At 53.6% G+C, this 13,132-nt stretch overlaps 1 protein-coding gene across 31 annotated transcripts in view, besides 3 other annotated features; it reads left to right on the top strand.

The window, feature by feature from the left end:
* Positions 2,651–2,830: a silencer, noted in NCBI's record as "silent region_9952". NCBI's record gives its function as "represses an Ori minimal core promoter by ATAC-STARR-seq in GM12878 lymphoblastoid cells {active_cell/tissue: GM12878}" and the evidence as "EXISTENCE:reporter gene assay evidence [ECO:0000049][PMID:35858748]".
* Positions 3,341–3,480: a silencer, noted in NCBI's record as "silent region_9951". NCBI's record gives its function as "represses an Ori minimal core promoter by ATAC-STARR-seq in GM12878 lymphoblastoid cells {active_cell/tissue: GM12878}" and the evidence as "EXISTENCE:reporter gene assay evidence [ECO:0000049][PMID:35858748]".
* Positions 3,342–13,132, top strand: part of SLC25A23 (solute carrier family 25 member 23) — a 23,712-nt gene continuing 13,921 nt past the window's right edge. For 10 of the 31 annotated variants that reach the window (XM_011528284.3, XM_011528282.3, XM_011528280.3 and 7 more), the window contains exons 1-9: positions 3,342–3,661; positions 4,810–4,936; positions 5,544–5,631; positions 6,603–6,714; positions 7,042–7,182; positions 8,417–8,575; positions 8,659–8,811; positions 9,046–9,153; positions 10,655–10,822. In XM_011528284.3, coding sequence (XP_011526586.1) covers positions 3,506–3,661; positions 4,810–4,936; positions 5,544–5,631; positions 6,603–6,714; positions 7,042–7,182; positions 8,417–8,575; positions 8,659–8,811; positions 9,046–9,153; positions 10,655–10,822 — 1,212 coding nt within the window. In that variant the 5' untranslated portion in view covers positions 3,342–3,505. The remainder of the gene's footprint in view (positions 3,662–4,809; positions 4,937–5,543; positions 5,632–6,602; positions 6,715–7,041; positions 7,183–8,416; positions 8,576–8,658; positions 8,812–9,045; positions 9,154–10,654; positions 10,823–13,132) is intronic. The other 21 variants (XM_047439408.1, XM_047439406.1, XM_017027288.3 and 18 more) reach the window with 5 other exon arrangements.
* Positions 3,531–3,590: a silencer, noted in NCBI's record as "silent region_9950". NCBI's record gives its function as "represses an Ori minimal core promoter by ATAC-STARR-seq in GM12878 lymphoblastoid cells {active_cell/tissue: GM12878}" and the evidence as "EXISTENCE:reporter gene assay evidence [ECO:0000049][PMID:35858748]".

Genomic DNA, 13,132 nt, shown 5'->3' with positions numbered 1-13,132 from the left:
GACAGAGATTGCAGTGAGCCGAGATTGCACCATTGCACTCCACCCTGGGTGACAAGAGTGAAACTCCATCTCATAAAAAAAAAAAAAAATCTGCATTGAATCACAGCTATACGAAATATAGCCAAGGCTGGGCATGGTGGCCCACGCCTGTAATCCTAGCACTTTGGGAGGCCGAGGCAGGTGGATCACGAGGTCACGAGTTCGAGACCAGCCTAGCCAAGATGGTGAAATCCCCGTCTCTACTAAAAAATAATCAAAAATTAGCTAGCGTAGTGGTGGGCGCCTGTAATCCTAGCTACTTGGGAGGCTGAGGCAGGAGAATCGCTTGAACCCTGGAGGCGGAGGTTGCAGTGAGCCGAGATCACGCCACTGCACTCTAGCCTGGGTGACAGAGCAAGACTGTCAAAAAAAGAAAAGAAATATAACCAAATGGATACATACCACCAGGGTGGACAGTATCTCTATAGAACACGCCTGCATTATCATCACAAACAGCTAACTAAGGCACTCTGATGTGGAATAGACCTGTTTTAGGAACATATCTGCATGGCTCACCTATGAAATGTACGGCACTTGCATTGGGGGAATTCCTGGGTGTCAGTGTCTTGTAAATACCTGTATGAGACACACCTGCATTTACGTAAACCTGTATGGGACTCGGTTGTATGGAAACATACCCAGATGGGTGTATACTTAACTGAAACACACCTACGGGGCGGGAGACTGTAGAATGCATTCATGGGTGGAGGGAAACCTGCTCAGAAACATACCTGTGAGGTAAGAGAAAGCACCTTGTAGGAGGAACACCTGTATGGAATTGAGCTCAAGTGAGGGGAAGAACTTGGAACATCTGCACGGGGCACACTCACATTGACACACATCTGTGGGTAAAACCATCAGGGCAGGGGCTCACATACACTGAGGCCCACCTGTCAAGAATGTATCTGTGAGAAAACACCTATTTAGGGGCACTTACATGGAAAAAAACCTCTGTATCACTCCATGCTGTATGGCACCTGCAAGGAACAACTGTAAATGAAAACCTCTGCTGGGGAGCCTCTTAGAAGAGACTCATTTGTCTGGGGCACACCTGTTCCAGCACACCTGTCTAGGCAGAGGCTGGGCGTGAACTAAATATGCCCTCACGACTGTATCTTTGTTTTCTTTCCTTTTTAAAAAAAATAATAATAATTATTATTATTATTTGTAGAGTTGGGTGTCTTGCTATATTGCCCAGGCCGGTCTCAAACTCCTGACCCCAAGCGATCCTCCCATCTCGGCCTCTCAAATTGCTAGAATTAGAGGCCTAAGCCACCGAGACCGGCCAATGCTGTATCTTTGGATAAAGGATGATGATAATAACAAGACCCCCTCCTGAGGACCCTTGGGTGACAAGTGATGATTAAAGAATAATTAGGCCAGGCCGGGCGCGGTGACTCACGCCTGTAATCCCAGCACTTTGGGAGGCTGAAGCGGGAGGATAATCTGAGGTCAGGTGTTCGAGACCAGCCTGGTCCACAGGTGAAACCCCCCCCCCCCGTCTCTAATAAAAATACAAAACTCACGGCTGCGGTCGGGCATGGTGGCTCATGCCTGTAATCCCAGCACTTTGGGAGGCCGAGGCGGGCGGATCACGAGGTCAGGAGTTTGAGACCAGCCTAACCAACATGGTGAAACCCCGTCTCTACTAAAAATACAAAAATTAGCCGGGCGTGGTGGTGTGCGCCTGTAATCTCAGCTACTTGGGAGGCTGAGGCGGGAGCATTGCTTGAACCCGGGAGGCGGAGGTTGTGGTGAGCTGAGATCGTGCCATTGCACTCCAGCCTGGGCAATAAGAGCGAAACTCCATCTCAAAAAAAAAAAAAAAAAAAAAAAAAAAAAAAAAAAAAAAAAAAAAAAACTCACTGCTGCGTGCGATGGCTCACGCCTATAATCCCAGCACTTTGGGAGGCTGAGGCGGGCGGATCACGAGGTCAGGAGTTCGAGACCAGCCTGGCCAACATGGTGAAACCCCGTCTCCACTAAAAATACAAAAATTAGCTGGGTTTGGTGGCGGGCGCCTGTAATCCCAGCTACTCGGGAGGCTGAGGCAAAAGAATCGTTTGAATCCGGGAGGCGGAGGTTGCAGTGAGCCGAGATCGCGCCATTGCACTCCAGCCTGAGCAACAACAGCGAAACTCCGTTTCAAAAAAAAAAAAAAAAAAAAGATAATTAATTCTTTCTAGGGTATAGAGTGATGGTTAAGGATCCCAGATCTCTTTAAACCCTGTTTTGCCCCTTAGTGGTCATCAGGACTGGGGAGAATGACTTAACCTCCGCTTCCTTATCTGCAAAGTGCGAACGCCAGTACCACCTACCTTATAGGGTTTTGGCAAAGACGACTCGAGAGGTGAGTAAAAGCCCTGGCATGTGCAAAGCACTGAATCAAAGTGAGATTTGTTATCGAGTATTCGCTGTCAAGTGGTCTGGGCTCCCTTCCCCCTAATGGTGGATCGAGAAACTGCGCCCGAAACTAGCAGTAGGGACATTCCGCAGGTGCAGCGAGTGCGACAGGCTGGGGCCCTGCCTCCAGCGCTCGACCACTGGGATCCTCAACCCCGCGCCCGGGTCACTGAGCCACCCCCTCCCCACGCCGCTCAGCGTCTGATTGCGGCCGCGGCCCCTTTAAGATCTCCTGGCAGGCGGTGGGACTGCGGGCTGGAGGCAGTCGGGGGTCTGCGGGGAGGCCCCGCCTAGGTGGGAGAAGAGGCGGGGCGGGCGGGCTCAGCCCAGGAGGCGCTGACCAATAGGAAACCGACTTTGCAGCCGCGCCGCGCGTTGATTTTCTGTTTCCCAGTCAGAGTGGGAACCGAGAAAGGAAGCGCGCGGGCGGGAAGAAGGGACAGTGGGAGAGCATCGCTCCTGGATCTTCTGTTTCTGCGGCCGAGCGGGGAAGGTGTAAGGCGCGGGCGGGCAGAGAGCGAGCGAGATGGTGCACGGTTCTTGCGTGCGTCTGGGAAAAGCGAGAACTTGAGTTCCTGAAGATTAGTGGGTGTGGCGGGGAGGTCAAGTGGAAGGGGATTATGAAACCCAATCCCCGACAGCGCTCTACCTTGCCCCCTTGGGCAAAGGGGGAAAGGGTAAACTGAGGCACGCAGAGGCGGAACTCTGAAACCAGACCTGAGACCACTGAGCTCCCTAGCCCGTCTTCCCAGAAGGAACTCTGGTGTTCCTCGGCTGTGCAATACCAGACCATCCCAGACATTCCCTCCCCACGCCCCCAGCTCCGCCCTCGGTCCCCTCCCCCCAATGCAGGTCGGGGGAGGAGACGCAAGTTCTGGCGCGGGCGGCGACGGCTAGCCGTCACCACCTCCCGCAAGTGCCAGAGCCGAGCGGACTGCGCGGAGGCTGCGGAGCCGGCGGCCGCGGGAGCTGACCCTGCGGGGTCCCGGGGGGGGAGGGGGAGCCGCGAAGCCCCCACTGAGGCCGCCGCTGCCGGGCCTCCCCTCCCCCCCGGGCGGGCGCCATGCGGGGGAGCCCGGGCGACGCGGAGCGGCGGCAGCGCTGGGGTCGCCTGTTCGAGGAGCTGGACAGTAACAAGGATGGCCGCGTGGACGTGCACGAGTTGCGCCAGGGGCTGGCCAGGCTGGGCGGGGGCAACCCAGACCCCGGCGCCCAACAGGTACCCCCACCCCCAGGGACCTCCTCCCCTCCCGGCCCCGCCCGCTCCCGGTTACCCAAGCCCCTGAACTGGGCGGCCGGAGCCACCAGGGACTACCTGTGGCTGGACTCCAGAACCTGTGTCTCTGTCTCGTTCCCCCTACCCACTCGTGTTTGGCCTAACGGGATCGCTCAAGACAGGGACGCCGAGGCCCCAAGCCTGCAGTTCCGCGGCCAACACCCGATCCCCCTGCTGCGGGGCAGGGGGCGTCTGCCTGGGAAGAGATGGGGGCGCTTTCCTGCCCACTGCCCGGGACACACCCTCCTCCAGACTGCACAGCCCATGACGTGCCCTGCTCTCACCTCCAGGAGACACACCCTCCATCCTCTGGGCACCTACTGCCCTGGCCTGCAGCTGCCCCGATCCCTGTGTTTACATTCCCTGGCCTGCCCTTTCATGGGCCGTTCACGGGCCTGGCTCACTGTCCCGGGCTGCCCCAGCCAGGGACCCAATCCTGTCTGCGGTCACCCGCAGCTGGGAATGCACCTATAACAAGACTTTCCTCCCGCTGCCCCCACCTCCACTTTGCAGGTCCTTCCCACACCTGTAGCCCCAGATCGCTCTAAGAGAACCACAGCAACCCTGAGAGCAGTCCAACCTCCCACTTCCCAAATGGGAAAAACCAAGGCCTCAGCCACTCCGCTTGGTTCTCTCCTGCCCCACATCGCCCAGGGCTTCCTCCAAAGGGAACCCCTGGGTCCCCCATGTGGACAGGGTTTTTTAAGAGGCAGCTGGGTTCAACAGGAATGAGATACCTAAAAAAATAACAAAAACTAAAAACAAGAGACAGCTGGAAGGACAGGCTTTACAGATGAGAACTGAGGTTACCATTTCCTGGTTCTGTGACCTTGAACTGGTGACTTGACCTTGCAGAGCCTCAGTTTGCTCACCAGGAAAACTAGACCACTCACACCCACCGCACAGACCTGTGGTGGCTGTAGGGATCTGGCTGAGAAGTTAGCTGACTGAGGGAGAAGTGGGGTGACGTCTTCTATCCCCTTCCTCAAGGCGCTGGGGGCTCTGGGTTCCTAAGGCATAAGGTGACATGCGTCCCCTCCAGATCAGGAGCAGGTTCCTGGAGCCACCTCTATCCCCTTTCCCTCTGTCAGGGTATCTCCTCTGAGGGTGATGCTGACCCAGATGGCGGGCTCGACCTGGAGGAATTTTCCCGCTATCTGCAGGAGCGGGAACAGCGTCTGCTGCTCATGTTTCACAGTCTTGACCGGAACCAGGATGGTAAGGTCGGGCGACCTGCCTGCAGGCCCCAAGGGATAGGGCTGTGGGGGCCCTAGAGACATCAGTGGGGTTAGAACTGGCAGCGCTAGGAGGAGAGGGGGAGGGCCGCTTCTCCCCGATGACTCATAGGCTATTTCAGGAGCACTCCTCACCCCCTAGCTAGGTGGTTCGAGGCCCAGCCAGCCCATCCCACCTCCTTTCCCTACTGGGGCAGAACCCCGATAATTACCCTTAGATTTTTCTATGGGGCAAAGATACCCTATGCTGTTCCTGGGTCCCCTGTGGGACAGAGATCCCCTCATAGCAGCATCTGGGTTGTGGATATTGCCTCTCAATCCCCCATGGCATAGAGACCCCTACAATTACCCCTGGATTCCTTCATTCATTTACAGAACAGAGAAGCCCCCCCAGTATTTCCCAGTTCCACCTCTCTGACCCCAGTGAGTCAGGGGTCCCCCCACAGCCCTACTGCAAACCTCCTCCTAGGTTTCTGGAGCCCCTGATCTTGCTAGACCACCTCCATTCCAAGCTGTTCTGATCCTTGGTCCTGGGGTTCCCCAGGTGTCCTCACACGCACATCCTTCCCCACCTCCGGCCCCCTCCCCAGGTCACATTGATGTCTCTGAGATCCAACAGAGTTTCCGAGCTCTGGGCATTTCCATCTCGCTGGAGCAGGCTGAGAAAATTTTGCACAGGTGAGTCGCTGGGGGTCTGGAATCCAAAGTAACTCAGGACACAGTGACCCCTTGGCCATCTCTGTCTTCTGGGCTCCAGACCCAGTCCCAAGGAGGATACAGCTGAGAGGTTGGGGCTTTGAAGTCAGACAGATCTGGCCAGGCGCAGTGGCTCACATCTGTAACCCCAGCACTTTGGGAGGCTGAGGCAGGTGGATCACCTGAGGTCAGGAGTTGGGGACCAGCCTGGCCAACATGGTAAAACCCCATCTCTACTAAAAATACAAACATTGGCCAGGCGTGGTGGTGCATGCCTGTAATTCCAGCTACTTGGGGAGGCTGAGGCACGGGAATCCCTTAAACCCAAGAGGTGGAGGTTGCAGTGAGCCAAGATCAGGCCAGGACACTCTAACCAGGGTGACGGAGTGAGACTCCTTCTGGAAAAAAAAAAAAAAAAAGAAAGAAAAATTCAAATTGAAGCCAGACAGATCTGGGACCAGTTGCCTCTCTTAGCCCGTTTCCCCCTCTACAAAATGAGGGTAATACAGCTGGCTATGGTGGCTCACGCCTGCAATCCTGCCACTTTGGAAGGCCGAGGCAGGTGGATCACGAGGTCAAGAGATGGAGACCATCCTGGCCAATATGGTGAAACCCTGTCTCTACTAAAAATACAAAAATTTGCTGGGCATGGTGGTGTGCACCTGTAGTCCCAGCTACATGGGAGGCTGAGGCAGGAGAATCTCTTGAACCCAGGAGGCAGAGGTTGCAGTGAGCTGAGATCGCACCATTGCTCTCTAGCCTGGGCAACAGAGCAAGACTCCGTCTCAAAAAAAAAGAAAAAAGAAAATGATGGTAATATTTGCTACATCTCTAATAGGGTTGATATGAGGACTTGAACCTCCCAAACTGCAAAACCTAGCAGAACTTCACCCCAGCCTAGCCCACCCCCAGGCACTGAACCTGTCCTCCTCCACCCCCTTTCTTCCCCCCAGCATGGACCGAGACGGCACAATGACCATTGACTGGCAAGAATGGCGCGACCACTTCCTGTTGCATTCGCTGGAAAATGTGGAGGACGTGCTGTATTTCTGGAAGCATTCCACGGTGAGGTGGGGGTGGCTTTCCCCAGCTGAAGGCTGTGCCCTCTTCCCCAGGGGGGCCTTGCTCCGATCTCCCCAGGGCTTGGATGGGCTGGACCAGGACTTTCCAGAAGGAGAAGGCACTGGCAGCAGCTGACGGATGAGGGTCTGTTCCTCTCTTCCTCCACTTAGGGTTCAAGGGTCCCATTTGGGACATCTCTGCTGTCTGATTGAAGCGCAGCCCTTGAGACTTACATCGGGGCCTCTGGGGACAGCGTGTGGGGGTTGCGGGTACAGGGAAGAAAGAGCTCACCAGATGGGGTACAAGGCCTCCCACCTTCCACCCACACAGCTCTCTTCTGCTGGGTTCTCTGCCTGGATAAAAGATTCTACGGCTGAACAGAATCGTTCAAAAACCACGGTCTTGGCCAGGCGCAGTGGCTCACACCTAAAATCCCAGCACTTTGGGAGGCCGAAGTGGGCGGATCACGAGGTCAGGCGATCGCGACCATCCTGGCTAACATGGTGAAACCCCGTCTCTACAAAAATATTAAAAAAATGAGCCAGGTGTAGTGGCAGGCACCTGTAGTCCCAGCTACTAGGAAGGCTAAGGCAGGAGAATGGCGTGAACCCAGGAGGCGGGAGCTTGCAGTGAGCCGAGATCGTGCCACTGCACTCTAGCCTGGGTGACAGAGCCACACTCCGTCTCAAAAAAAAAAAAAAAAAAAAAAAAAAAACACGGTCTTCAGAGGATCCAATGGGAGCCACTAGAGAGGGTAGTGGGGGTTTGCTCTAGATCCCTAGTTCCTGGGTGAAATGTCTATGAGCAATGTGTCTGGTAGGATCTGATGGCATCTGGAGGGGGATCCGTCTGTGGGATCTGGTGAGAACCTCTTTGGAGATCCAGAGACTCCCACCCCAGACGATTCATGGGGACCTTGGTTAGAAATTCTAGACTGGAAATGATTCCTGCACGGGGACTCCATGTGGAGGAGATCCCTGTGAGATTTCGTGGGTCCCTGAGAAGGATCTGCTGGGGTCTTTATAGGGGAGGTGCCTGGTAAGATCTTGTATGGCCCTGAAGGGATCTTTTGGAATCATTATATGGAAAACCCTTGAGTGGGATCCTTCAGTAGAATCTCATTTGCCCTGAGGGATCTTTTTTTGCTGTTACAGACAAGGTCTTACTCTGTTTCCCAGGCTGAAATGCAGTGGTGTGATCATAGCTCAATGTAGCCTCAAACTCCTGGGCTCAAGCAATCCTCCCATCTTGGCCTCCTGAGTAGCTGGGACTACAGGCACATGCCCGGCCAATTTTTGTAGAGAGGGGATCTTGCTATGTTGCCCAGGCTGGTCTTGAACTCCTGGCCCCAAGGGATTCTCCCACTTGGGCCTCCCAAAGTGCTGGGACTACAGATGTGAGGCATCACATCTAGCCTGGAGGGATCTTTATGTGGCAGATACTTGAATAGGATCCTTTAGTGGGATTTGGCAGATCCTTTGGTGGGATTTAGTAGGATATTGGGATCTTCTAAGGAGGCTGCTAGGTTAGATGCTTTGGTGACACCTGGTAGGACCCAACAGGACTCTTCTGGGGTCTCCAAGCAAGAGTCATTGGCAGACTCTAGGGTATCCTAGGATTCATAGAGGAGACTCCCCTATTTAGGACTGAGTCACATCTCCCTGTCCCCACCATGGCATGACACCCCCAACACCTGTATCTTTAGGTCCTGGACATTGGCGAGTGCCTGACAGTGCCGGACGAGTTCTCAAAGCAAGAGAAGCTGACGGGCATGTGGTGGAAACAGCTGGTGGCCGGCGCAGTGGCAGGTGCCGTGTCACGGACAGGCACGGCCCCTCTGGACCGCCTCAAGGTCTTCATGCAGGTGAGGGGCTCTGGAGAGACCTGCCCCCTCCCCCAGGCCTGACACCTGGGAGGGGACCTCCAAGCTGTTGTCTCCCCATTCAGGTCCATGCCTCAAAGACCAACCGGCTGAACATCCTTGGGGGGCTTCGAAGCATGGTCCTTGAGGGAGGCATCCGCTCCCTGTGGCGCGGCAATGGTATTAATGTACTCAAGATTGCCCCCGAGTCAGCTATCAAGTTCATGGCCTATGAACAGGTGAGGGCAGGTACAGGGAGGAATGTGCTTGCCATAGGGAAGACTGGGCTGTACATAAAGATTTACGGGATTGGCTTGGGGGTGGGTGGTGAACACAGGTCCCCAGGATCAGGCATCTGCTCCTCTGCATGAATGCCTGCAGCAAGCCAGTTCTTTGGAAGCCAGGAGAACAGTGGAGTGCAAGGAAGGTTCAACCCCCATGGTCCTACCCATCCCTGTGTCTCCCCGCCTCAGATCAAGAGGGCCATCCTGGGGCAGCAGGAGACACTGCATGTGCAGGAGCGCTTCGTGGCTGGCTCCCTGGCTGGTGCCACAGCCCAAACCATCATTTACCCTATGGAGGTGAGAAGGAGGGACCCCAGCGGAGGCCCCATGGCAGGGTGGGGGGCCTGCTGTACCCATCTCACTCTGCATTTCACAATATCCATTGGGATTTTACCTTTGTCCCTCTCTGATTTGGAGTATAGCTCATCAGAGTAATGCAATTTCATGTGTAGCCTGTCTGGGTATTACAACTGAGATATAATTTCTGGGGAAGGTAGTGTCGGTTATCCTTGTTTGGATGGTAGTCATAGGAGCCAGCTGTTTATAAATATGCATCTTCTAAGGATAGGGTGCACGTTCCCAGGGACGTCGTGTCTAGGTGTCACCAACTGTTTATGAATATGCCTCTTCTAAGGATAGACTGTGCTAGCTACATGTTTTCAGATAAATTATTTCAGGTTTCAGGTTATGAAGTGTATTGTTTGGATTCTGAAAGTGACAGAAAACTTAAATCATGTCAGCTGGGTGCGATGTCTAGCGCCTGTAATCCCAGCACTTTGGGAGGCCGAGGCAGGTGGATCACCTGAGGTCAGGAGTTCAAGACCAGCCTGACCAACATGGTGAAATACCGTCTCTACTAAAAATACAAAAATTAGCTGGGGATGGTGGTGGGCACCTGTAATCCCAGACACTTAGGAAGCTGAGGCAGGAGAATGGCTTGAACCTGGGAGGCGGTGGTTGCAGTGAGCCAAGATCATGTCACTGCACTCAGTCTGGGCAACTGAGCAAGACTCCAGCTCAAAAAAAAAAAAAAAAAAACTTCAATCACATCAACAAAGTCTACAGATGAGCATTTCAGGCTGGGATGGTAGCTTCAGAGTGTTAGCGATGCAGGTTCTTTCTGTCTATCTTGTTGTTACACAACCTCATGGACCAATGTGGCTGCTTGTGCTCCGTTCATCACATTCCACACTCCAGCCAAGAAGGAAGAAGCAATAAAAAAGGAAACACCTCCCCACCTCTAAGGATGCTTTCTGAACCTTATGTGTACCTCTTTCTCTTCCTTCTATTTCTTTGGCTAGGACATAGTGACATAGCCACATACCCAGGGCATCTGGGAAATGTCATTTTTCTTTCTAGTGGCTGTGTGCTTGCTGAAAGTTACAGTTTCTGATATGAAAGCAGAAGGGAACAAGATACTGGAGGTCTGGGCATGATGGCTCATGCCTGTAACCCCAGTCCTTTGGGAGATGGAGAGGGGAGGATCACTTGAGCCCAGGAGTTCGAGACCAGCACGGGCAAAGTAGCGAGTCCCCATCTCTACAGAAATGACCAAAAAATAAAAGAAAGATATCAGGAGACAGTTACTGGTGGTGCCACATGTGTGCACTTTGGTAGGTGTAACTATTTCTAGGTATAGGGATTTGGGGATAGCAGAAGATTCTAGAGTAGGTGGTTTTTAAAATTCGGTTGTTCTCAGGGCATCTGTTTTCAGGAGTAGCTATTTCTAGGTGTCTTCATTCCTGGATGTAGCGATTTGGTGGGACAGCTTTTCCAGGGATAACCAGGTTCTCCCCAGGTGCTGAAGACGCGGCTGACCTTGCGCCGGACGGGCCAGTATAAGGGGCTGCTGGACTGCGCCAGGCGTATCCTGGAGAGGGAGGGGCCCCGTGCCTTCTACCGCGGCTACCTCCCCAACGTGCTGGGCATCATCCCCTATGCGGGCATCGACCTGGCCGTCTACGAGGTCTGTGGGCAGCGCGTTCCTCTTTCCCTGCTCCCCTCTGGGATTTACCCACAGGACACCCCTTCCCCTTCCCCTGGGGCTGGCTCAGTTGACCTGCTATAGTTAGAGAAAGGCAGTTATGAGGTGAGGAGCACCTTGGCCCTGGGAATCCTGGGGAACCCTTCCAGGTATTGGACTCTCCCACTTCTCCACTTACTTTTGATTAGCAGCTCAGCCTTCCGGGGTCACCTGAAAGTCAGGGACCACTCTAGCTGACAAACATAAGATCAGGCAAAGATTACAAAAATTAGCCAGGCATGGTGATGTGTGCTTGTAATACCAGCTACTCCAAAAGGCCGAGGCATGAGAATTGCTTGAGCCTGGGAGGCGGAGGTTGCAGTGAGCCAACATCCCGCTACTGCACTCCAGCCTGGTGACAGAGCTACTGCACTGCAGCCTGGGCAACAGAGCGAGACTCCTTCTCAAAAAAAAAAAAAAAAAAGGCAGGCAAAGATGAGTCTCAAAGACACCCAACTTCCCCGAAGCAAGTATCAGACCCAGCCACGGTCTCTAAGCCAATGTCATCTTCAGGGCCTGCCCATTTGAGCATCTGCTGTTACCATAAGAACCACACCTAATCACCAGCATCTTGAGACCTTTATCAACACAGGCAGGTGCAGACAGTTCTTGGCTGTTTCTCTTCCAGGGACCTCATCTGTTGCTTTTACCTTCTAGTGGGATCACCAGGTCTCCCCCAATTAGCATGGTCCTGGATGTCCCCAAGCGTTCCCCCCAAAATCTTTGTATGCAAGACAGGGCCTGCTTCATGGGCATGTGACCTGTGAAGTCGCAGAGAGCCCCATGCTCGGAAGGGCCCTGTGCTTGGTGTAACGCTCTGCTACTGCTGTCTCGAAATTATTTTTATTTATTTATTTATTTTTTTGAGACGGAGTCTCGCTCTTGTCGCCCAGGCTGGAGTGCAATGGCGCGATCTCGGCTCACTGCAACCTACATCTCCTGGGTTCAAGCAATTCTCCTGCCTCAGTCTCCCGAGTAGCTGGGATTACAGGCATGCATCACCATGCCCGGCTAATTTTTATATTTTTAGTAGAGACAGGGTTTCACCATGTTGGCCAGGCTGGTCTCAAACTCCTGACCTTAAGTGATCCACCCGCCTTGGCCTCCCAAAGTGCTGGATTACAGGTGTGAACTACCATGCCAGGCCTGAAATTCTTAATTTTTTTTTTTTTTTCCCGAGACAGAGTCTCACTCTGTCGCCCAGGCTGGAATGCAGTGGCGCGATCTCGGCCCACTGCAGCCTCCACCTCCCAGGTTCAAGGAATTCTCCTGCCTCAGCCTCCCGAGTAGCTGAGATTACAGGTGCCTGCCACCACGCCTGGCTAATTTTTGTATGTTTAGTAGACAGGGTTTCACCATGTTGCCCAGGCTGGTCTCAAACTCCTGACCTTAGGGGATCCCCCCACCTCAGCCTCCCAAAGTGCTAGGATGACAGGTGTGAGCCACCACACCTGGCCAATAATTTTTGAACAAGGGACCCCCACCCTTTTACATTGTGCACTGGATCCTGCAAATTATGTAGCTGATTCTGATCTAATAGGCTCTGTTCCTGCCATCTTTACCTGCCCTCCCCAGCACCTGGCATGTAGACAACCAAATGAGACAAGACCGTTGCTCACTCATTCATTTGTTCCTCCATTTTGTTGTTCACTCATTCGCTTAGTGACTATTTACTGACCATCTACTCTGTGCTAGACACTGTGCGGATTGTGGCAGTTGTGGTGTTGAATGAGACCAGCATGGTCCCTGCCATCCTGGAATGCCCATTCCCATAAACAAGGCAGGCAATCAACCAGCAAATAAGATAGTTTCAGCTCCTAGAAAAGCTCTCAGAAGATCACAAGACAGGATTTGTCATCTTCAGTAACAGTGGGCGGGAGGGGGGTTGAGGAACGCCTCCAAGAAGGTGACATTGAAGCCATGGGTTGGGCGTATTATCACAAGGGAGCATGCACAAATCTAGTACCCAGGTCTGGAAGCAGGAACAAATACGGCCTTTTGGAGGAGTGGAAGTCTTAGGTGTCTGGGGGGGACTGATCAGGGCAGGGTACAGGGTCTTCTAAGTAAAATAGGAAGCCATTAAGAGGTATGAGTAGAGGCCGGTCACGGTGGCTCACACCTATAATCCCAGCACGTTGGGAAGCCGAGGCCGGTGGATCACCTGAGGTCAGGAGTTCAAGACCAGCCTGGCCAACATGGTGAAACCCCAGCTCTGCTAAAAATACAAAAATTAGCCGAGCGTGGTGGTGGGCA

The sequence above is a fragment of the Homo sapiens genome, chromosome 19 (genome assembly GCF_000001405.40).
Source record: "Homo sapiens chromosome 19, GRCh38.p14 Primary Assembly".
Taxonomy (NCBI): domain Eukaryota; kingdom Metazoa; phylum Chordata; class Mammalia; order Primates; family Hominidae; genus Homo; species Homo sapiens.
Note: the sequence above shows the minus strand (reverse complement) of the source record. Positions and strands in the feature narration are given on the sequence as shown.